Source organism: Homo sapiens, chromosome 18, assembly GCF_000001405.40.
Source record: "Homo sapiens chromosome 18, GRCh38.p14 Primary Assembly".
NCBI lineage: Eukaryota > Metazoa > Chordata > Mammalia > Primates > Hominidae > Homo > Homo sapiens.
Window position 1 is genome coordinate 56,988,066 of NC_000018.10, and position 25,245 is coordinate 57,013,310.

The window sequence follows — 25,245 nt, forward strand, 5'->3', positions numbered from 1 at the left end:
CATTGTGTCTGTTCATCACGCCTCCTTCAGCCACCAGATTTAAGTTGATTAAGGTATCATTCATCTTAGGTACTGTTCATCCGATTTCTTTTAGTCTTATCACCTTCGTAACCCCTAATTAAGCAATAAGGCTTGACAGGGAGTATGGTTATCATGAGATAATGACACCCCAAGTGTGTTGTGAGGCATAAGGTTCAGCTGAGTGCTTCTAAACCTCTAGGGGTGTGATTATCTCATGATAAACATACCACATTGCTGCTCATTGATATCATTGCTGCCTGTGTGCAGCACTCCAGTTGAGGCAAAATTGACATTTCCTTGCCCACCTTCTCAGCCAATCCAAATTGGTGCTTCTATAAAATTGTTAGTTCAGGTCTCAGATTTATAAGCCAAAGTTTAAACCCATAAGCTTTTATTTTATTGTTTAAGTGGTATCAGTTGAACATGCAAGTACATCTTTGAAAAAAATATAAATTTATTTTTTAAAGGTAAGTTTCCTCAGAAGAAAGACCTCATGGAAGGCAAGTGTGTGTGTGTGTGTGTGTGTGTGTGTGTGTGTGTGTGTGTGTGTATAGAGTCGTCGCAATTTTGCAGCAGTTAATAGACCCTACTCCAATAAAAAAAATTGGGCATTCTTATAAATTCAGAAGAAGCATGGTTGTGCTTTAATTCAAAAAAAGTTATTAAATAGTTGGAAGTTCTATAGGGAATATTAATTGGATGTTTGGTTTAGGAAATTCTTTTTAACTTATTTGCAATTATCACAGTTAATAATAGACCAAGGGAGAGGGGGATGGAGAAAAATGTTAGTTTTGTAGCCTTGTTTTTGTTCCGGTTTCTTGTAAATTGATTATATTTCAGGGAAGAATAATTTATGTTTTTTTATATTGGCTCTGATTTGGTATTTAACAGAAAAAAATTGAATTATCTACAGTAATTTTGGTTTGACTCTTAAAGGAGAAAAAGATGCCACCTTTTAGATATAACTCTCAGGAGTATATGTGTGTATGGTTTTTTGAAAAAAAAAAAAAATGGTGAGAATACCATGGCTAATTTTATAATGTTTTCAGCATGAATTTAACTGTGTCTTCTAAAGCAACATTATTCATTAGGACTTTCTGTGATGATAAAAATATTCTGTGTCTGTACTCTCCAGTGTGATAGCCATTAGCCATATGTGGCTAATAAGACTGAGGAGTTGAGTTCTTTGTTTTACTTAGATGTCATATTCTAAAGAAAATCCTTGAAAGTTAATTTTTCTCAAGCTCCTCACAAAATTTCCAATAAATGAATTATCTTATGGCTTTAAAAAATGATATTTTTTCCAAGTAATTAGTTTCTTTGATGGTCTTTTTTATCTTTTGATGTTCAAATAAGAACTGGAAGAGTCTGTTCATTTTATAGAGATTTAAAATTCTTCTTAGTACAACTTCTACTCTAATTTGTATGCAATTTTCAGAAGGTCTTGTCAAGTAGTTAGGCATTTAATGCATGCTGAAACTATTAATCTACTTATGAAATTAAAATAATAACTTCCCTGGCGAAGTGAAAGACTTTTTTAGGAAGAATTTCTATCAACCAAAAATGCCAGGACTTTTGGTGCTTATTTTTTAAATAACTTATGATACTTGATTATACCTGTAATTTTATTTGTCTCAATAGAGTATTTTTTTCTTAATAAGAATTATAAGTTTCCAAGCTTACCTTTATTCCCGTAGGTACAGTTCCTACATTGAAAATGTCCAGAATATTATTTAAACCTTGACTGCTCTCTCGATGGCACCCAGCCTTCATCACTTACATGGCTGAGTTTGTTCATTCTTAAAACAGTCTTTGGATTTTAAACTAAAATATTTATCAAACCCAAGTCTATAGTAAGTGTCCACTAAATGAGCAAACAGGACCATGTAAAACTAATGTCTTTCTTTAAGTGGAAAGTTAACACTTCTTAAAGCATAAGCTGACTCCTTACTATTCCTATTTTTTAATTAATTTTGGTTTTTAAAAAGATTAGGCCATCCTAAGCAGAAAACTATAAACAAAATTGCTGGTATATAAAAGCATAGAATTTGGAATTAAATCCAGGAAACCAAAGGGCACAGAGCTGAAGACCCAAGAATTCTCCTTTCATTGCGTGAACTGCATTGCCATTCATGGCAGGTAAAACTGTCTGAAACAAAGACCTGAAGTCCTTAGGTGAGTGGCAGTAGAAGCTGCTGCCAGTGTTGCCTAGCAGGAAAGGAACTTGGAGCAATCAGGGAATCAGAGGTGCTGTGGACCAAAAGCCCATATGGGAATCCTTGTGCTTCTCCAGAGCCTAGTGAGAGCCACCTCACTCCACCTTTACGTTTCATTTTAAACTTCTTTTTCACAATAGTAGGAAGTTACATTAAAAACAAACATCCTATAGATGAGAACATATGATTTCTAAGGTTTTCTTTCAAACAATATGAGAGGGGGAAAAAGAAGATGAACCTGGATGAAGCAAAATTATGCTAAAGCTGGGCAAAGGGTACACAGAGGTTCATTATAGGTACTATTCTGTCTGCTGTTGTACACTTGGAAAAGTTTCCATCATGATTTTAAAATGCAAATATTATAAAGGCTGAGTTGATGTAAATGTTTATATTACTAATAATACTTAGGAGGTAAGCTTTACTTATATATACCATAGTTATTCTGTCTTACCCTCCTACCTATTGCTCCAGCTTTTTCTCACCAGGCTCTCCCCTGCAGCCTCTGTGCTCAGGCTACACCAGCTGACTTTTTGTTGTTGTTATTTCAATCTCAGCTTTTCTCTCTCACCCCAGGACCTTTGCATATGCCATTTCCCCATTCCGGGTTCTCTTCTTTCCTCACTTATTCCTAAACCCAACAACTACTTACTACCTCACTAGTACACCAAATTGTATTGTTAGGTACTAGACTGATTCTCATTCCATTCAGTTCCCATTCAGGTTGGGTTGCTCACTGCCTGTTCTCCTGTGATGAAAGTCAGGGCATGTGCCTTTCTCAGCTTTGGACACAACTTATGAAGATAGCACCACCTCTTACTAGCTACCGTACACCTTCTCCTCATTTTTTTTTTTTTTTTTTTTTGAGACGGAGTCTCGCTCTGTCGCCCAGGCTGGAGTGAAGTGGCACGATCGCGGCTCACCGCAAGCTCCGCCTCCTGGGTTCATGCCATTCTCCTGCCTCAGCCTCCCGAGTAGCTGGGACTACAGGCGTCCGTCACCACTCCCGGCTGATTTTTTGTATTTTTGGTAGAGACGGGTTTCACCGTGTTAGCCAGGATGGTCTCGATCTTCTGACCTCGTGATCCGCCTGCCTTGGCCTCCCAAAGTGCTAGGATTACAGGCATGAGCCACCATGCCCGGCCTCATTTTTTAAATATTGGAGAAACTGGCCAAATGAGAGTTGGAGTAATCCTGAAGGAGGCAAGGGACCATGAGACTAGAGATTGCCTAACCCTGTTGGGGGGAAAAAAGAACTCTAAAAATTTTAGACATTATGTGGACCAAACAAAACAGGTTTATGGACAACACTGAGCCTGTGGGCAGTCCATAGCTATGGATTTGGAAGTGTGAGTGATTATAGAGTAAGAAAGAAAAAGGAATCTGTCTTTGTTGAACTCTCCATAACTGATACCTTTATTTGAAATGTGGCTTATTGGCAACAGCCCAAGATATTATTTAAATTGTGAATACTAATACCCTGCTTTAAAATGTGATCCCAGCGATCTCTAAGAACAAACTGTTAATGGAGAGAGATGATCTGTATCTGTCAGTTCAGTTTCCCATTATGAGTTCATGTGTAATTTAATAAAATGTTCAGACTATTCATGGCTTTCAAAATATATTATTTTTGTTACAAATGTATTTTGCCTGATTTTTAATATTCTCCATTTCTTCTTCTAATTAATCATATTAATCAATTAAAATAGAAAACGAGTCCTGCTCAGTGTAAAATAACCTCAAGCCCATGCTGTTTAATTTTATAAAGTACTCATAATGAAAAAGAATAATTTAGCTAATCAAATAACAACTTCCTTTTTCCTTACCTATCTTAAGACAACTGATCTTCTGTAATCACTCCTTCAGCCTAAGAATCTATTCCGAGCTAGACCTATCAGTAGCAAAATGCATTAATATGAATGCTTTAGAGCTGGAAAGCTGAGAGTGCCTGCCTTCTTTATGTAACTAGCGATAGAACAGAGCAACTTGTCACTTGGTGAATTTAAATGTCTATGGGAAGAAACTATGGAATATCTTTATGATGATGAAATTATCTATGTGGAATGTTTCTTAACAAACTTGGTTATCTCAAAAATGATAGGACCAGTATCAAGGCAAATATGGGATAGTGTGGAGACTGCATACAGAGATTATTCCCAAAGGAGTGAACTTTCTTAAGCTAATTTTAAAATTAATATTAAAGCTTGAATTTTGGCCAAAAGTAGAAATTAACATATTTTTAACAAAACTCTGAAAAGGTCTATGTCTTAATTAGGAGTATGAATTGGAAGTTAACATTAGGGCCACACGGAACATATAACGGTAATGGAGAACTATTCCAGGTAAAAGATAGTAATTATTTTGAAAAATGATGTAATGCAAACCTAGTCAAATGAAGGTATGATGAACCAGACATTTTCTGGCGCATTGTCTTCCTCAGTCTTGTCCTGTGACTTCTCTAAGCCAATCCAATCAATTCCCAAATATTTCACTGAACTAGAAGTTCAGGGATACGATAGTTAAAAGAACCTACAGCATGCATTTGGTAAGTTTCTCATGAAGAGACATGTCCCAGGTCTGGATAGTTGTTTGTCCTCATTTGGGGCTTGAATGAGAGCAGTAGGTAAACCATACTGATGTTTTGATAGATAATGATCCTTGCTGATTCAAACTACAAGCTGACTCACTGCTGTAATAACCTAACATTTTCTGAAATTCTACACCTCCCAAACTCAAACCCAAAGCTCTATTGCTGGTAATTGACTATATATTATATCTGTTTTTACATATGTGACAAATAGTTTAGATGAAATGGAGTAATTTGAGGGAAGAAACAAGGTACTTAGTAGATGAATAAATTGGTCTCCTTAGAAGGAAAGTTTAAAAGCTGGTTATTTTGGAAATACTCAGATTGTTTAAATATGCATCTATGAACTTAAGAAATTCTTATAGCAAGAATTTGGAATTGAGAAAATAATTTTTCTCGAGTTTCTACCTAATACTTAGCTCTTATCAAAAAACAATTTGGCATATGGATGCCAAGGTTGACATAGTAATCAATTTAATTTTTTTCTTTTATTTTCTTTTGGAATGATGCCATCTGCTATAATGAGATGAGGCTGCCTGGAAAAATTGTAAAGTTGCTGACCACTCTTGAAGCCACATCATCCAGTACTGTGATTTTAAATTTTTATTATCGTAAAAAGTGTGACGTCGTGTCTAGGGTAAAGGCTCTTAAAAAATTGAATTTGTATCAAAAGAAATGCAGAAATGTATCTAATTTCCCTCCATCTCCCAGGATAGGCCTTTTCAGCTTTTAACTCTGTAAATGCTCCATTTTAAGTGTGTTAGCAAAGCATTTTTGTTCAGGCTGTCAAAAGGAGCTTTTGTCTAGGGAAGATGGTGGGATGCGGGAGGGAGATGAGTGTGTGTTTTTCCTGTTCATCCGAATTTATAGGAAACCCCTTCACAGGAATGATATTTTCCTGTAAAGTGATCAGTCATCTCAGAGGATAATCTTCGGATTACTGGATACATATTTGGCAGAAATCAAACAGATAAATTGTTGCCAGTCAATTGTAGGCAGGTGCCTGGGGAGACATAGTGTTCCTCACTAGTATACCGCTTACTTTATATTGTCGTTGATTTGAATGGAACAAGTGTCATCGCTCATCTGTTACTCTTTATTTATTTTTTTCATCCATTACTTTTTTTTTCTTTTTTTTTTTTTTTCTTCTTGAGACAGGGTCTCACTGTGTCACCCAGTCTAGAGGGCAGTGTCACCATCTTGGCTCATTGCAGCCTCGACCTCCTGGGCTCAAGCAATCCTCCCACCTCAGCCCCACAAGTAGCTAGGACTACAGGCATACGCCACCACGCCTGGCTAATTTTTTTGTATTCTTTCTGTAGAGATGGGGTTTCTCCATGTTGGCCAGGCTAGTCTCGAACTCCTGAGCTCAAGCGATTTGCCTGCCTCAGCCTCCCAAAGTGCTAGGATTACAGGCTTGAGCCACTGCACCAGCCCATTCATTACTATTTAAAGGGGCATTTTCATTGTATTCTGTGTGTGTTATGTATGTTCTGTTGAAGTAAGTGAAAATCCTTGGAAACATGTGAGTTTTGTTATGCTTGTAGCATTTCTGAGTTACTTGTTCAATGATTCTGTTAAATTTTTACCATTAAATGTGCTCTCTCATCTTTTTAAAAAAAAGAGTTTGTTCACATAAGTCCTGGGAATTTTTTCTTTTTGTGTGTTTTCTCTCCTAAAGTTTTCCCTGAAAAATTTAATTGCAAACTCTTATGATGTTGGCTGAATATGTTTACTTTTGCAAGGGCATAATTGAATAGGTTCTGTGCTTTTAAAATAAGTAGCAAGATTTTCAGCATCCTATCTTGGTAAACCATCTATCCATGAACTATACCCTGTAGTGATCATTATGGGAAGAAAAATCCCATTGCATGCTACTCTAGCACACATTCAGTCTTTCAAACCCACTAATAGCATAGCTTCTCTTCATTCTAGCATCCAGAGTTCTAGGCTTCAAGATTTTAACAGAGGATTTTACAAACTCACCAGAGGCTAGACAGTGTTAAATTTCTAGTAATTTATTAATTCTTTCAACAAAAATTTCAGGAACCAGTGGTGCATTTCTCACGTGAATTAAATTATCAAATTTAGAATCTAAGTTGCTAAAACAATTTAGTTTTTTTAGTTGCTCTTCGTATTTGTTGTGTTGAAATAATTTAAGCTAGAATATGAGAGAAAAAAAACTTCCTTTTGAAACTCAGACTTCTATATTTTCTGAGTCTGGTATAAAGCTAAGGATATTAAATTCTGAAAGGGGTTACTGGTGTGCTTAGTAACTGCCTATAGTTATAGGATAAATTAAGATAGAGGAGGACATTGAGAAACCTTTTGGTAAAATCCTGCCTATTTCCTCAGAAACACACATTTTACCTGAATTCATAGGATGGGTTCCTCTTCAAAATGCTTATTCCCTGATATTCCATGGCAGAAACAAGTTTTTAAGGGTATGAAATATGTGGTTTCATTTAAGCATGGTATAAATGATTGTAGAATGTGTAGCATCTATTAGGGTTGGGGAAGGATCTGATTGATAGTCAGAATTGCATACTACTGAAAGTAGATCTACATGTACTAAGAAGTATGTTCCGTACATCACTCATTCTGTATTCAGTAAACACTGCTGAGATTATTTGACATCACAGTTTTTTTCTAAGTCATGTTCATAATCGCCTATTTTTGAACTTTTCCTAGTTCTAACTAAATTCGTAGATTTGCTTTTCTTTCATCCTCCACCTCCAGTCATTCATCCCAAATTTCTAAAATTTAGTCCTTTATACCACAAAACATTACAAAGTTATTTTCACTTGAGATTTCATGAGAACTACTAGAACCCACAGGGATCCTCCCTGTTTCTGATGTTCCTCTGACCTCTGCCTCCTGTCTGTGTGTACTACATCCCCAGACTGAGTCCCAGCGTCAGCTCTCTGAGCTTGGTGTGATGTGTGCATGTCCGTGGGTTCCTTTCCCAAGGCATTGTCATGGAGATAGAATGGGGTCTGCAGGTGAAGAGCTATTTTGTCCATTGTGCTATACATATAGAAGCTGGGCTCCACAGAGCAGGTGGTTGGAATTAATGCACATTTGGTACCTGGGCCACTTGTTTTTTTTCAGGCGTAATGATTCCAAAGGTCAGAATAGAGCAATAATTTGAGATGTGCCAAAGGGATATGGAGCATCAGCATGTCCCACTTTTTAAAGTGAGTTTAGAAGTATTTAATAAGGAGCTGACTGTGATCTCTTCTTACCCTGATTAATTTACACATGAATTAAAAATTTCCTGTAATATAAATTGATTGAGAATCTGTTTCTGCTCCTAAATTGTTCATCAAGCATCTACTGTCTGTGTGAGAGCTGGTAACTGCTTCTTTTTTTCTTTTTTCTTTTTTAGGTGAACCTAATTAAAAGGAAAGATTAGATTCTATATAAAGCATGCTCTTTTGTGCATATAATTATAGAGAGAAGAAATAAGGGATTCATCTAATAGATTCTGGGGCTTTGAAAGAGACTTTTGCATAGTTCATACATCATAGAAAGCATTTAGAAATTACATTTTCAGAAAGATAAAACAGTATTACGACCAAATTTATCAGAGAGATTACATTTCTTAATTTGGAAATGTAAAATTTTTAGTAGTTTTGACAAATGGTTGTAACCAAAAGGTTATCAGCTAGGATAGAAATAAAATTAGGCTGCTGGTAGATTAGGAAATCATGTAGAATTAGACGATGTCTGGTAAAAATTTTGTTTTCCTTTCAACTTTGAGGCAGTTAGTCTAATAGAACCCTCAGTGGAGTTAGAAGTGCCCAGAATTATTAGGAAGTGGGCAGGGGAGGCTGCCTCATTACTTCCTTCAGCTTTCAATCAGTACAAAATGGAGCTTAAAATCAGGCTTTCAGCAGACAGCAGGATGTTCCATATCTACCTATCCACAAATATTCCTCATTATTTTTAGCCTGTAACTGTCATATAGCACTTAAACTTATTTTTAAATGCTTTGCTAATGTTTCACTTGAGTAGAAAAACGCACATGATATTCTATAAAATTTACCTGCAAATATACTAAGAAGAAGAAAAAAAAACTGGATCTTTTCTAAGCTTAATACAAAAGGAGTAACAAAGAATAACATATCTTAACCAGAAACAGTATCATATGAATTTACTGTTAGTGAAAATTATGGAATTTAAATACTTAATTTTCTGAGCATCTTAGAGTATGACTTGCATTGAGACCTTAAAAAATCAAATTTAAAACAAACCTGGATAAACAATGAATTGTTCAGAGGAAAGGAAGCAATTACTTTTCAGAAACAACATATTCTTCTCCATGCTCCCTGGCAGAGTGTTTTCAACTATGATTTGATCAATAATCTCACAGTAGTGGCAGATATAGAAAAAAATAAATGTTTATCACACTTGTAAACATCTCAGGCAAAGCCACAGTGTTTGCTGAGAAGACAACGTTCATTCTTGAATTTCCCCATGGGTCAGATCTGGGGGGCATTTACTATTTGACTTGTAAGGTTGGGTATTAATGACTCAAACCAGAAGTTAATGCATTATTGTAAATATTATGTGGGTGGGTTGTTGCCTGACAAAGTGAAATACAGAGTTATGCTGAATTATCCAAAGGGTGCTTATCTCTATTTGGACCAATAACGAAGACCTTGTCAACCAAAGGAGGTAGGGAAAAGTTGTTTATTTAGGGCTTCTTAAAAACAAACAGATATAACCTACAGCTTTTTTTAAAGCCTTTGAAAATTATTCACTCCTTGTAAAAAATATATTTTAATTCATCTTGGGATTTTTTTTGGCACTTGGATTGATCTCTAGATTCCATCTTTTTCAGAAGAAAGATGAATAAATTACTTAGAGTATAAACAGATGAGCAAATAGCGGCCTATAACAGTGGGATGTAAAATGTATATAGCAAGAGCTAAAAGTGTTGGAGAAGGTAATCAGCCTTTCTCCTTTGCAGTTTTTTAAATTCAATTATATGTCTCCTGATTAAATCATAAACGTGTATGTGTCTGTGTTATAAAACTTTCCTTCCTCCTGGATCTGATATTAGATAAGCCATTTTTCTTGATCATCTTTCCAGGAAGGATGAAGAGCAGCGGAGAAGCCACACTTCTTATCATGTATGGCTTTCTTTATGTTCTGTGCAAAACAAAGCAAAGGAGTGAAGACAAATCAGGTGTATATTTGGACATCATGGGGCTTCTAAAACCTGGGAGGAGAGTGCTGAGGTCATTTTTCAAAAGTTTGATATCAAAAAGCCCCAAGGTATAAGCAGTGAAGACTTAGGTATCCGTAATTTTTGTGCCTGTGTTACTCTCTCAGACCCATGAGAGATTGGGTTTAAACTCGGGTCTCTTGGGAGCTGTGCTCGTTCCCCAGGATTTTCACTGGGCATCACAGCAGCAAAGGTCAACTGCTGCCATCTCTCTGCACATATATTTGACTCTGCAATTGTAGGCATAATGCAGGTATTTTATGGGTTCTATTTGATAACATTGGGCCAAAGTAGACCTTCCTAAAACATGGGAGTCGGGGCATACTTCGTGGGACATAATGATCTGCAGGGAAAGAGTTAAACTCTATCAGCAGACTTGAAAACAGTGGTCTTAGTAGCTTTGAATTAATCGTTTAACTTCTGTACTTCTTTACTCTGCTGTTTGCTTTTATAGCACATCCCACATAGAATTCTATTAAGGAATATGAGCTGAAGCTAGAAGGTCCACTTCAATGAGTTTGCCATCAAATGATACAATAACTGTTAAAATCTTTGTAAAATGTCATTATACAAAAGCAAGTCACTAAAAATTAAATGTACTAAATTGTGTACATAGAATGTCATCTTTCTTACCCAAGGAATAGTCTTTTTTTGTGGGTCTGAATGTGATTTAAGTGGCTATTTATATAAGAGAAATAAGTGATTATTCTACTTATAAAATGAGAGCATATATTTTAAAAATTTAAAAATACTGAATACTTAAGAAATGGCAGGCCTTATTCTTGATTGTCCCAAGTTCTTGATGGTACATCGTAGCGCTTAATAGCTGAAGAAAACAAGCTTTTAGCAACAGTTTTTCCAACTACTAGTATGAATAATGTGTCATATATAAGGTATTATTTCCAATTTCCAATGTCTGGGGATGTCCTGCAGGAAGAAGTCAGAGTTATGAAAATATTTATGGAATCTTATATTCGCAAATATAGTGTGAAGAAGTTTACAGAGGCTGTCAGTGAAATGAAATCCTCACAGTATAACCTTTTAGTTTGATGTGAGGCTGCATGGCAAACAATAACAGAGTTCTAAGTCTTTTCATATTCTACAAAATCCATCTGGTTTCTTTGTACTGTGTGTGTTAGAAGAAGCCTGGTGAAGAATTTAGGGTTTGGGGGAATGTTTTTGAATACAGAAATATAGAAAAGTTAAATTTGTTAGATGGGTGGAGATATTAGAGATAAATATTTTAGGAATAAGTAAATATTAGGAAATATATATGAAGTAGTGATAATGGTTTATGTATTAAACTTCAGTTGAACAGAAAGAGAAATCCATAGAACTCTTTTAAACCACTTATTCTGAGGTGACTAAAATAATAGGAAAGAGAAGTAAAAAATTATTTTTAATCTTTCTCCATGATGTCAGCCCCTATATTAGTCTGGGCTATCTAAGTCCTTGAAAAATCTCTAGAAAAAAGGGTGGTGGGCACTTATCAAGGAAAGATGTTCTTTGTGTTGACAGCTGAGAAAAGGTAGAGATATATTATAGTAGAGAAAACAACTAAGGAAAAATAACAGAAACTAATGCAAATTTAATGCTCTTACACTATCATCTTATACAATAAATCCAACAATACCAAGGAGACAGGAGGAAGGATGGCAAGAAAAGTAGAAAACTGCGGAGAACCTTGTAGCTGGGGCAGAAATAGGACTGCTAGAAAACCCCCCTAGAGAACGGACCACCCAAGGCCTTGTCAAGATAGTTCTCTGAACAGAAGGGATCTCCCATCTTTTGACCGCTATGAGCTTCTCCTGTCAACAAAATTCCCTCCACTTCAGTTGCATTTGAGGCAGAATTCTCTGTGACAAATTCCTATCCTCTGGACCTGGAACAGTGCTGCAGCTGGCCAGCGTACCACAATTTCCTCAGCTGGGAGCAGACTGGGCATGAAGAATTGGAAGTATCCAAATATTTTTAGTCATAGAATAAGAGCTCTAGTATGGAAACATTCAGGGAGAATGTCAGTAAACCAAAATCCTGACAGTATAATCCTTCCCTTTATGAAGTAGTTTAAAAGAGATTTATTAGTATTTGTATTTAATTAACTAAAATCACATTTATACTTTTAAAAGCCTGTTATAAACCAGAAGTAATTCAGTGGCCAAGAAGAAGAGAAGGCTTAATGAATCGTATTCTTGCTGATTTCCACTGATCCTGTATTATTTAATTTCCTGTTTTTCTTAATAAAAAAGGTGTCAATTAAGCACGATATAAAAATATTGATTTTTTTCTGCCTTCATTGAATATTATTTTTGTTTCCTGTGCCCCTTTGTTGGGTTATTTTAGCTATATGTACCATATTCTGTAAAAAGATTTATTTTTTCTAATGGGCCATAATCATTTTGTTTTTTAGTGGTTTTGTAATCTATTTTTGGAAGAGAATTTGCTCATTGAACATTTGTAAGCTCAAACAGCACTATTTAACTGATTACTCTCTACTCACAAGCCTTCAGAGAAGAGGAAAGCCCTTTTAAAACTGCAGTGATGCACACAGGAAGTGCATGATTGTATTATTTTCTTATAGTTTGGTTGTTGTTCTAGAAAATGTTCAAAAGCTTTCTTCTTGTAAAAGCTAGACTGTCAATTCTGGGACTGTGCTGTTTATTAAAGATAGCTCTTAATAAATTTCTGGTGTAGAATCTTTAGCGTATAGAGGTTTATATATTCTGGAATTTTAAAAATATTTCTCTAAATTCTTTAGCTTTTCAGTTGAATATAAATATTAGTGGACAATAAGAGATGTAAATGTAGGGCCATGTATAGTGAATCCCAGCACTTTAGGAGGCCAACATGGGAGGATCAGTTGGGCCCAGGAGTTGGAGACCAGCCTGGACAACATAGTGTAAAACCATGAGACCCCATCTCTACAAAAGAGAGAGAGAGAGAGAGAGAGAGAGAGAGAGAGAGAGAGATGTAAGTTTATGTTTAGGGCCCAAAAATAAAAACATTAAGAATGGTTTGGACAAGCAATCCTGAATCAATAGCTAGTAATATAAATTAAGCAAAAATGTCTAGCTTATATTTAAAAAATATGTATATATCACTTGTGGCATACACAAATCTACTAGAGAGTGATGAACAAGAATTCAAGGAGAAGAACACTTCCAGCAGATTTACAGGAAAGGCATCCTTACCGAGAAATGGTAGCTTGTGGTTAAGTTTCCCCAAGGGAAATTGTGGGAGCACTGTCGGTTGAGACCTGATGGAAAACTTGAAAATGCGTTCTGGGGAACAGCCTTAGCCTTGTGCTCTCAATAGTGAGCCTTTTGCATGTTCATTTCTCAGTGGATCCAGGCAGGAGCAACAAAAGCTCCAACTCACTCTTTCCTGATGTATCTATTTTTCTGTGCATGTGGCATAGGTAACTGCCTTAATGAGGTAAAATACACATAAAATAACTTCACTTGTTTTAAGTGCACAGTTTGATAAGTGGTAGCAAATGTATACAACCATGTGACCACCACCATAATCAGGATAAGAACATATCCATTACCCAAAAAGTGTCCTTCTGCCCCTTTGCAGTCAGTCCTCTTCCCCTGACAATCACCAATCTTTCTTGCACTGTGGTTTTTGCCTGATTAAGAATTTTATATAAATGGAATCATACAGCATGTAACTGTTTGTGTCTAGCTTGTTTCTCTTAGCATCACGTTTATGTTTATCTGCCTAACCTGTATTTCAATCTGTTTCCTTACTAAGAACTAATATTAAATTTCTGGATATAGAATACCAAATATGAACCCTAACTAGAAAACTGGGCCTGTCTACACTGGAACCGAAATTCTTTAACCATGTTAAATAAAGGAAAAGCAAAAATACCCATGATTAGAGCAGTCATTACTTTTGGAGTTTATTTCTAAACCTTATTATTGTTTGTTCAGGTTTTCATTCCCTTTGTTTTACCCCTCCTGAGGTGCTTTCCATAATAATATCTATATTTTTAAATAAAAGGAAAAATTGTTTTGAGCTTCAGCATTTTGTGATAATTTCATAGTGTCTATGATAATGTACTATGCCCTGAGTTGTCTCGAACCCAGACTAGAAATCTTTGGGTCAGAAAATGCTTACATAAAAAAATTAAACATAACTTAAACCTATATGTGACTGTACTATAATTTTCTTTATTGATATGAACATACATATAGTACAAATAAATTATCTAAATGGATACCTATTTTTGCATCCTAGAAAAATGTAAACTGTGCATTGAAAATAATTATCATAAAAACTAGGACAGGAGTTATTTCTGTAGTCAGACTTTAGCTGCATACATTTTTGTTAAGTATCCAGGAAAGTTTTCCACAATGTGTCTCTGAATTACTGTTTATCGCATCCTACACCAGAAATTATTTAATTAGAAAAATAGATTGAAGAGGATATAAGAAGCTATTCTATAAGCGAAAAGAGACTAAGAAAGTAAGATAACTTGTTGGCTGTCACATTTAGTGATATAGTATTTAGAATATATAATCATGTCTTTTACAAACGTGTAAAATGTTCTGTAACACTTGAATGGCTGCAGCTGTCAGCTCATTTTTTCTGGATTAAGTTTGGTCAAGAAAGAAACCGCCTCATTTTCTAGTTGTCATTTGCCCAGGAAGTAAAAGCAAAATTGTAATGAGGGAATCACAGCAGGAGAGCCTCCTAACAAATGAGAGGCATATATTGACTGGCAGCCAGCATGCCATTTCAGTGATAAATGTATTTTTATACACTGCTGTTCAAGGTCACTCACTGTTGTCCTTGAGTGTGCAGCCATCAAAAGTCATTCAGTTCACATTCTAAACAGTTCTAATAATCAGTGCAAAGATGCCTGACTTTAAAAAATCAGTTATTAATTTTATACAACATTTATGTAAATTATACATCTTGATATTTCACTGCAGTTTCATCTTGCTATTGTTGAAAATTGTTGAGAAATCAAAGAAGATGTAAATTTATGAGGCATTTGTGAGATGCATTAGTATAGATTTATTACAGTGTCCACAGAAGCCAAACTTAAACATGGATGAACTTCAGTAATTACCCCTTCTGTGTTTTGTGCTTCTTCAGTGTTTAAAATTCATAAAGAACTTTTATAAATCTAAGCATTCCAAAACAAAGCTATTATCAATTTAAGACTAATGCTATGTTTGAAATAGAAATTATACTAAAAAAATACAAAAAAGGACATTTTGCTTTTAGATCTGCCTCAATTCAAAGGAAATGTTGTTACTTTTTGAACAACATTTAAAAAGCACTCTTTTTAAAGTCCTTTAAAAAGTCCTTTAAAAAGCACTCTCTAATTACTCAGAGAGAGTGATCTAGTTATTCACCATTTTGTTACTCAAAACTCAAACACACTTTCTAAATATAGAATGAACAAAACCATGTTGTTACTCAGGTTTTTGATCTCCATAAATAGCAAAATGTTCAGGGATTAATCTAGTATTAAATAGCTGTCTTTTCAAAGTTAAATTAGATGCAAAATGTAATGATTTGGATCACACGAATCTTTCAGTAAATATTTTTTAAAATATTATGATTGTTGGATTTAATAATCCTTACGTTAAATATGTGTTCACAGTGCATATTCACAGAAAATCACGGGGCCCTTTATGGTCTGTCTTCAGACTAATTTGCCAACTATGCTTATCTGACTCCACTTCATTCCTTGCACTGTAAATATTGATCATTCTGGAGGGCTTTTTGTTTGTTTGTTTTTCCCCAACAAGCTATACTCTCCTTCCTTTAGGCTTTTGAATATAGTATTCCCTCCGCATGGAGGGTGTGTGTTATACCCTTCACATTATATGTATGTTATATCATACCCTCCGCATTATATTATACCCTCCACATGTGTGTATGTGTGTGTGCGCGCACACACACACCCTAGCCTTTGTAATCATTCATACCCAGAAAATCTCCAAGGTTTCTCACCTGGCCTACACAGTAATCCCATAATTTAACTTCTACCTGAGGTTATGGGTGTAGGAGGAGGTAAATGAATGTCTCCCTGATTTTAGCTTAGAGCTTTGGATGAATCTAATATCTAGGAGCTCCAGATAGGTAATCTCATACTTCCCTCTGACATCCCACACATACCACCCTGGCCTAGTACCACACATATATTCCTCCTGTATATCCAGAGATGTTAGAAGTTATATGTCTCTGGTGTCTACAGTAGACAATTAAGTTCCTTGGGGCTGGCTTGGACCTTGAAATGCTTTTCCCCATAGAAACTATTATAAATAGTACTTAGGAGATTGAACTGGCACTATAAATTCTACAACATTAAGAATTCTCTTGGCTTTTGGAAACTGGCCCAGAAATCTATCTGTCGCATTGTTCCTGTTTAAAGGTGTGCAGAGTTCCAAACAACTGAATTCCAAACAAACTTTAGGACCTCTCATTTGATGGCTGCCCATGTGGAAACACTGCAACCTACTAAACGTAAAAATGTCACTAGCAGGTCATTTTAAAAATTACCACATTGCATACGGAATAGCCAGGAGTGACACAGTAAATATACAGAACTACAAATAGAAGGATTTCTTGTATTTAAAGTTATATTAGTTATCAATATTTTACAGATCAAAACAGTTCTTACAGTTTCACTCTTTTTTAACTTTGCAAGCAGAATTTGCCTTTCAGTGAGCCCATTATGACATTGAGTTCTGAGTTTTTCATAGCTGGAACAGGAAGTATGAGTCAGATTTCTCAGTGAAGTCTAAACTTTCCAAAGATGAAACCCATAAATGGCATTTGTAGTTCTGTATTAACTCGTACTCACACCTTGAGTTGAAGGCCTGTATCATATTTAAAGAGTACTCTTGGGTTTCCTGGTTGACTTCCTTTGTAATTTAACCTTTGGCAAAGCAGTTATAAACTCTGACACCTGAACAGTCATAAATTAAAAATCTGTATTTTATAATACCGTGTCAGGCATCTTAATGTACAATGCTGTATCTAACCACTAATCTCAATTGACTGTTAAATAGAAATGTTTAGCATAAAACTATTATCATATTATAAAAAACTGTTTAAAAAAATGATGTCCTTATCATTTCTAAACTATAAAAGCAACTAAATGTATGTTAAATAATTTTTTTTGTTAATAATCTTCCTTTTTTAAAAAAAGCAGAAGCACAGTTTTAGGGAGCATGCATTTACCATATAATATTACACTTACCATGTAATGTTATAATTTTAATTTCAACATTTAAAGTGATCTGGCAACTATGACTCTCATCTCTGAGCAAGTAAAATATTTTTATGGAAAAATAAAATAGTGCATAGGAGTATGAAATTGTTTATACCAGGAAAATCTGATAAACTTTAAGATTTCAAAGACAAGCTAATATGAAATCTGGAAGACTGTAAGCCAGTGACTTATGGTGGTTCTTCTGAGGGATGGGATTTGATGAGTAAGTATATTTGGGTAGGGTTTTCAGTTTTATTATAAGTACCCCAAAAATAGTAGTACTATAGGTAATTTTTAGTTTCTTTTTTTATATTTTTCCCGGTGTTTTTCAAAGAAAAAAATATTTAAATCAGGGGTGTCTTAATCTTTTGACTTTCCTGGGCCATACTGGAAGAAGAAGAATTGTCTTGGTCCACACACATAAAATATACTAACACTAATGCTAGCTTATGAGCTAAAAACAAAAAATCTCATCTTTTAAGAAAGTTTATGAATTTGTGTTGGGCCACATTCAAAGCCATCCTGGGCCGCATGTGGCCCATAGACCACAGGTTGGACAAGCTTGGTCTAAATAAAAATTATGCTTCTACTAAAAATTATTTTTGCTAATGCAAAGTTCATATATAAAGTCTTTTAAGCCTCAGAAGTGTGTCCAAACTACCTTCTCATATACTTACTCCTAAAGGAAAATATTATATTAAATGGAAAGCTTCTGGTTGAGTTTTAGATGCTTTTTTCTTTAAAGTGAATAAAATTAGCATGCATAGTATTAAAGTGTGCCCTTAATAGCATCTGTAATAAGGCATAGAATGTTATTTTAAGGCACACGTCTCTGGGTCACATGCATGATAGTAATTATGAGCAGATTACTAACAAAGTGCATTCTGTGTTATAAACAGAGAGCATCACAGGATTCACGTCTGCTTGGAAAGAACATAAGTTAAAACATCAAAGCAGTTTTTTTTTTTTCTTCAAGATTGTAGTTATTTAGATAGCTTGTCAGTGGTAGTGCAACAAGTGGGCTTGTGTTATTGATTTTCACCTGTATTACCACAACATTTTTCATTGACAAATATTAATTGCTTATTAAGTACTAAAGAGTTTGATGGTCCAAATATTGAATTTTGTAATGAATTGACCTTTTAGTTTTGCTTATCATTAGGCAGTATGATTGCATTAAAGATACAAAGGTTTAAGCCAATATATCTCCCACTTTAAGAACATTAAATAGATATTCCTCTAAAATTTAATTTTAGTGATAGGATATTCACTTTCCCTTTCATTCAGGTAAATTACCTTTGGCCAAACTATAGGGAATGCTTATATAAATATGAATTGTGTGGCTATAATTAGTAGTAAAGTATCCAGCATTTTTTGCATTGATTCTAGCTTATGAATACAGAGACTAATTGAAATTTGTATCAAAACCAAATTGGTGATTATGATCACTAATGTAGATTTTTTAAAGTCATTAATTTGGTTAATTTTTTTGTGTGTTCGAGAAGAATCTGCATATCTAAGTGAGCAACCAGTACATATGTGTGTATGTATGTATACAGGCATGTACATCCACAAATATATACAAGTTCCAGTTTAATTCCTTTTTTGTTATCTTTCCTAACTTTTTTTTTTTTTTTTGAGACGGAATCTCGCTCTGTCACCCAGGCTGGAGTGCAGTGGCCCAATCTCAGCTCACTGCAAGCTCCACCTCCCGGGTTCACGCCATTCTCCTGCCTCAGCCTCCCGAGTAGCTGCGACTACAGGCGCCCGCCACAACACCCAGCTAATTTTTTGTATTTTTAGTAGAGACGGGGTTTCACCATGTTAGCCACGATAGTCTCGATCTCCTGACCTCGTGATCCACCCGCCTTGGCCTCCCAAAGTGCTGGGATTACAGGCGTGAGCCACCGCTCCCGGCCTCCTAATGTTTAATAGTATATTTTTTCTTTTTATAATTATACTTGGAGAAAAAAATAATTATACTTGGAGAAATCTTAAGTATATTATACATTGGGCTTTCTAAAACATAATTTGTGGATAACTGATGAAATTTAAAGTTAAAATTAGAGAAATTAGAGTGTTTTGAGTTGGCAAGTATTTGTAGATTAAAATGTTAAATTTAATTCAAATATATGTTTTTGATTGCAGAAATTTGACTTTTTAATAATTGATTTTCTGATCTCTGAGTCAGATAATTACTACTTGATAAAGGGTTATCATTTAAAAGTTTAAATACTGTCAACCTTCAAAGCAATTTTGTTATTAACTACATTAATTTATCACAAAATCCTCTTTTAAAGGTGATTTGTACATTGGGAACAACCTTGAAATATTTAATTTAAAAATAAAATATTAGATAAAATATTATATTTCAGGTCTACAATGTGTACAATGAGCCCAGGTCTTTCTTTTCTGCCCACCCCTTATACTGCTAGTGTCTCCTGTCGTTTTATCCTCATCCTTTTGGTCTTTTCACTCTATCTACTCTTCATGGACTTTCTCAACCATTTACATTGGATTTTTTAACAAACATTCCTGGAGAAGCTGCTGTGTACCAGGAACAGGGCTGAGTGCAGGGTCTATTCCTTCCACATCTCTCTATGTGCTGGTTCCTCCCAAATCTGCCTTTCTTTTCATAAACCTGTTCCTAAGCTCCAAATTCATTTTCCTCACTCTCTAACATATTTCTGTGTGCTCAGTCCCTCCACCTGAATTCTCACACTGAGCTCATTATTTCCTCTGACACCTTCCCACTGATCCCTATCCGCCGCGCCCTCCCCAGGGTCTTCTTTCGTTTGTGCCTTCCCTGTCCAGGTCACAGCAGCACCACCAGCCCCGCTTGCCCTCTCCTTCCTGTCCATGCCCACTTCCTCATTCAGCTCCCCATTTCTCTGCTACATTTGCTTCCCAACAAGTCCTTCTTCCTTTCTGTTTCCCTCTTCTCCACCCTCTGCAGAATTTTCTTAAAACTAGTCTGATCTGACCATTCTCATATTTAAAAACTTCAGAAAACTCTCTATTGACTATGAATTAAGTCCACATTTCTTGACACCACAAGAAGGCGGCTTATAGCCTGGCCATAGCTGCCTTTCTGCCTCGTTTTCAAGCCTGCCTGTCTCCACCTCTCCTCGCCCCCTGGTGCTCCCCTAGGCAGAGTGACACGGGAGTGCTGGCCGTTTTCTTGGACCCCTCTGAAGTCTTCACTTGGCACATGTTTGCTTAGACTCATCTCTTGTTCTTCTCACCAACTTCTGGTGGTCCTTTAAAGCTCAGTTCAAATACAACCTTCTCTCTGTACCTTTTTCTGACATCTCCTGCCGCTGGACAGAAACTACTGTCTCCTCGTCTGTGTTTCTGTGACATCTTCAGCACATCTCTATTACGCTGTTGATTGCACCATACCATAGTCGCTTACTGTCAACCTGTTGGTCTCCCATTCCTAGATTCACTGGCAGGGGTCCTATCTCATCTTTATACTCTGATATCTTGCACAGGACCTAAAACAAAAATCTCAGTAAATATTTTTAACTACATTTTCCTAAAACTATTTAATCCCATGAGGTAGGCAAGACAGATAATATTATTTTACAAATAAGCAAATCAGAAAATTTTACCTATTCATAAAACCAGCAAAGACAAATTTTAATCCACTAAGTGAAAGTGGATAGTCTAAGTATAAGTCAGAGGACTGACAAGTAATGTCAGTGTTATTTTGCCACAGTAATTACTCTGGGAGATTTGCAAATGCAATTGCTATGTGAAAAAAAGACATATATTGCATATTTTATGAATATTATGATTTTAATAGAAAAATGTTGGATGTTATATCAAAAGTAGAAGGTTAATTTTATCTTTTTGTAACTTGGTATTTCTTTATATTTTTATTGCATTTATTTTGAACAATGCAATTGTTTTACTATTAAAATTGTATTGGGAAAAGTAAAAATGTGAAAGGAGCTTTAAGTTAGAAGGTATTCATTCTAGATCAGTCTCTAAGAAGTCACCATCATCAAGGGAATTCACTTTTTGTTTTTTTATTTCAATAGGTTTTGGGGGAACAGGTGGTGTTTGGTTACATGACTAAATAACTTGGTATTTCTTAACAAAAGGAATGAACCTTGTAATGCAGAACAACATACAACATAAATTAGGTTATGTTCCAGACTAATCTAATTTTTCAGTTTTAATAAGTGGAAGAGGCATAATAAACTACACATAAAAGTGTAAAATTTCTAAATCTGTAATGTGTCCTAGTGAATATGTTCTATCATTATCCAAAATAAACATGAATCCAAAGGTATGGTAATGTTGGTTAATATATGTATGAATTTTAGAATTTTATTTTATGTTGTAATGTAACACTTTCAAGCATTTCTCTTTTCAGAATGGTGAAAATGTTAAATACTTTTGAAACATAATTTCAAAAAATATAAATTCCCTAGCTTTATAATCTACATCAGACAATTTTGTGTCACCAGGCACTATACCAGGCAAAGGAGAGGTGACAAAGGAGCGGGAACACATGTGAAGATCCTGACCTACTGCTCTAACCAAACCATCTTCCGTTAACCATAACCCAAATCAAAACCCACGAAAATGCCAAGTCCCATCATGACGGACATTTACTTAGGAATGTGATTGCTGTCCAGTGAGTTAGTGTGTACATGTGTCTGCTGAAGTCCTGCCATGTAAAAGCCTGAAATGTCTAGAAAGGGTGGAGATAATCAAGACCATTCATGCTGCTGAGGAACTCCATGTGGAAGCAGGAGGGGAGGGATTTATTTTCATAGCACAGTATAAGACTTCTAGCATGTGTTCAAATAGTTTTCTATTAGAAATACTGAAAAAAACATTTAGCTTTGGGTTTGCCCAGATCTGAAGAAAACATTTTGTGTGACTTTTTAGGCATATGCAAGTGAAACTTTAATAAATATTTCATATGAGCAGTGTAAATATTTGATAATTTATTCACTATTCTTTTATTTAAAACAACCACATTTATCTAAATTATATTAGTATTCAGCAGTAGAGTGTCCATGAATCATCTTTAAGTATGGCTGTGTAATTATATTTTTAAATGTTAAATTATATCAAAACGTTATGTTTTCATTTATGTCTTTAGGCTTTTTTAATCATTATTGAGTCTAAAAGTTGTACAGTACAAACATACTGCTGTCATTTTATTAGCCAAAAATTGGTGGTGATCATATAATATATTAACTTGTGATGTTTGGGATTTTTAGCAAACCTAATTTTCAAAGTATGATTCTATATAATTAATCATTTCAACATGCAAAGAAAAGACATATCAATTATGTATAATTTAATTGGATATTCTATTGTTACTTTATCCTGGAAATATTGGGCCTAATAAATCAGAAGAACAGGGAAGAGCAAGGCTAGTTCCTGATTATCTGCAGCAAGAAAAGGGGAAAGAAGGGCTTAGACATTAATAGGTGAATTAATGTCTAATTGATGGAGAACTTTTCTTTGAATCTGGAAGTTTCCCAGTTAAATCGAAGGGAAAATGCTCCTAAAATCAGTACCTATTTTTTAGAGTTTGCTGTATGATGATTACAGCGTTTTTAAGTTTGGTAAGCAACGATTGGCTTAAATGTTTATTCTCTATTTTTCTATTCATAAAACTTCCTTTTAAAAATAATTTTGATAATTTATAAAGGATCTTAGTGAAAATATAAGCCTCGATACCATAAAAAACTTATTAGGAATGTCAAAATTACAATAATACAATAGTTTTGAGCATGTATTTTGATTCTCACTATTCCTAGATAAGGGTGTTGTATGTGTATATGTGCATATGCACATGCATGTTAATATATAACCCCCCCACAGAAGAAATATTGAAAACTATTACTTGCATCATAAGGATTGTCAATATGTAGGTAGTGAAAAGCTCTTTCAATTCATCAATGTCAGTTTGTCCTCGAATGACATATACGTAACTTTTAGTAACTGAAAATGAGCAGTAAACACTGAAGCTAGTTTTAAGAAATAAAGAGAGCCTGTTTACTTGAGGCATTATATCTTACAATAAAACTTAAGATAGCTCACTTTATTATATTTATCCTTAAATCTATTTTCCATTAAGATGTTAAAATGATATCAAGTCTACTTGTTTTTCCCTCTGAATATATATTCTTTTCAATTAGATGGTGATAGAAAATAATTCATTGAATAGTTTCAATACCTTGGCTTGGAAAATGCCAAAACAGGTTGACTTTATAACATAAAGTTGGCATAATGTGAATAAAAAGCATTGCCTCAGCCCTCCATCAAGAAAAGAAATTATAGAGATAAACACTCGGTTTTCAACTCTCAAATCTCTGTTCAAAATCATTGTAGAACTGCCAAAGGGCAGCATCTAGTCTTATGTGCGTAGACTATAGGAGATAGTACACCCAATAAGAAAAGCTGAGTTCTTTTCAATACTAGAGAGTTTTAGGATTGCATTTACCATGTACTTCCATTTTGGTCGATATTTTTAGTTTTTATATTTTGCGTCCCAAGTGAGAAAGAAACAGGTTCCTAACTCTAATTATCCTTTACTTAAAAAGTGCTTATTTATGGTCCTTGTAGGAAGATATTGCCTCTTTGGGGGTACAGACAAGCTGATGGGAGGGTGAAAACCTTCAGGCACTGAGGACCAGGGAGGGAGGCTGCTGGTGAGAGAGATGGGGCTACCATCTCTGTAACCTGGCCTGGGTATCTGGGGAAATCAACACAGGTGCCTTCCTCCTCCTTAGCCAGTGAAGAAGGCCAGGACAACTCTGTTTTAAGAGGTTTGAACTCCTGGAGGTGGGTCAAATAAAAGAGTGTTTCTTCATCCTCACTGTGACAGTGGGCCAGTGGACCCTGCCTCACCCCACACGAAGGCAGGACTACCCTGGGAAAATGGGCTTCCTATGTCCCAGGCAGTGCTGTCATCCCAGCCGTCCTCACAGGGATGGCAGGGTAGGGGAGATTGCCGTGGACCAGGACAGCACCAGGATAGGAAGGGAGGTTGGGCCAATCCAGGGACCTTCCTGTGTATGTGGAAGCCACCTCCATGCCACATGGGGTTGGGAGTCTAGGGGTTCTGCGAGGTCCCCTGAAATTCAGAAGGGTCTGCAAGGTGGCCTGGCTGACTGTTGCCTGTCCAGAATGAGGAGACGGACACTTCTGCCGGGCAAGCTCCAGCACCGCCACAAGCTCTTGTTTCCAAGCAGCCCTGCTGTAGCTGCCTGGGCTGGGGCTGCACCCAGCCTCCAAGCACCACCAGACATCACTCAAGGTCTTTGTTATTTGGTGTGGCGAAGTCACTTATAAGTGTTAGTGTATAATATACATAAGACTTTCTCAGCTGTAGGAAAGTCAAGCTACGGAAATTGAAGATCCAGCAGTTCATAGCTTTCTTTTACCTGGTATTCTGTGAGGCAGCAGACTCTGGCCCCAGACTGCCTGGATTCTAACCCAAACAAGTTATCGCACCTCCCTGTGCCTCGGTCCCCTCATCTATGAGGTGGGGAATAACATAGTCTGCTTATCTCATTGGGTTGATATGTAAAGATTAAAAAGTTTATGTAAAAGTGTCTGGAACAGCACCTGGCATATCATACATGCTACAAAAGTTTGCCTTCTTAGTATGCTTTTTGAATTCTCTATAGCAACAGTCCCCAACCTTTTTGGCAGCAGGGACCAGTTTCATGGAAGACAAGTTTTCCATGGACCTGAGTGGGATGGATGGTTTTGTGATGAAACTGTTCCTCCTCAGATCATCAGGCATTAGTTAGATTCTCATAAGGAGGGCACAACCTAGATTCCTCGCATGCACAGTTCACAATAGGGTTTGCACACCTATGAGAATCTAACACTGCCACTGACCTGACAGGAGGCAGAGGCTTGCTTACCTGTCACCCACCCTCCTGCTGTACGGCCTGGTTCTTAACAGGCC

General features: G+C 35.8%; 1 protein-coding gene across 11 annotated transcripts in view, besides 2 other annotated features; it reads left to right on the forward strand.

Moving 5' to 3' along the window:
• Nucleotides 1-25,245, forward strand: part of WDR7 (WD repeat domain 7) — a 385,248-nt gene that overhangs the window by 336,707 nt on the left and 23,296 nt on the right. For 2 of the 11 annotated variants that reach the window (XM_011525888.3, XM_047437422.1), the window contains one exon: nt 21,773-22,247. The exons of the other annotated variants lie outside the window; for them this stretch is intronic. In XM_011525888.3, coding sequence (XP_011524190.1) covers nt 21,773-21,799 — 27 coding nt within the window. In that variant the 3' untranslated portion in view covers nt 21,800-22,247. Of the gene's footprint in view, nt 1-21,772; nt 22,248-25,245 lie in introns of those variants that run through there. 11 annotated transcript variants of the gene reach the window in all.
• Nucleotides 16,913-16,962: an enhancer, noted in NCBI's record as "active region_13365". NCBI's record gives its function as "activates an Ori minimal core promoter by ATAC-STARR-seq in GM12878 lymphoblastoid cells {active_cell/tissue: GM12878}" and the evidence as "EXISTENCE:reporter gene assay evidence [ECO:0000049][PMID:35858748]".
• Nucleotides 24,355-24,855: an enhancer, noted in NCBI's record as "H3K4me1 hESC enhancer chr18:54679651-54680151 (GRCh37/hg19 assembly coordinates)". NCBI's record gives its function as "activates a minimal SCP1, AML or CMV promoter by ChIP-STARR-seq in naive H9 embryonic stem cells {active_cell/tissue: H9 hESC(naive)}" and the evidence as "EXISTENCE:reporter gene assay evidence [ECO:0000049][PMID:30033119]".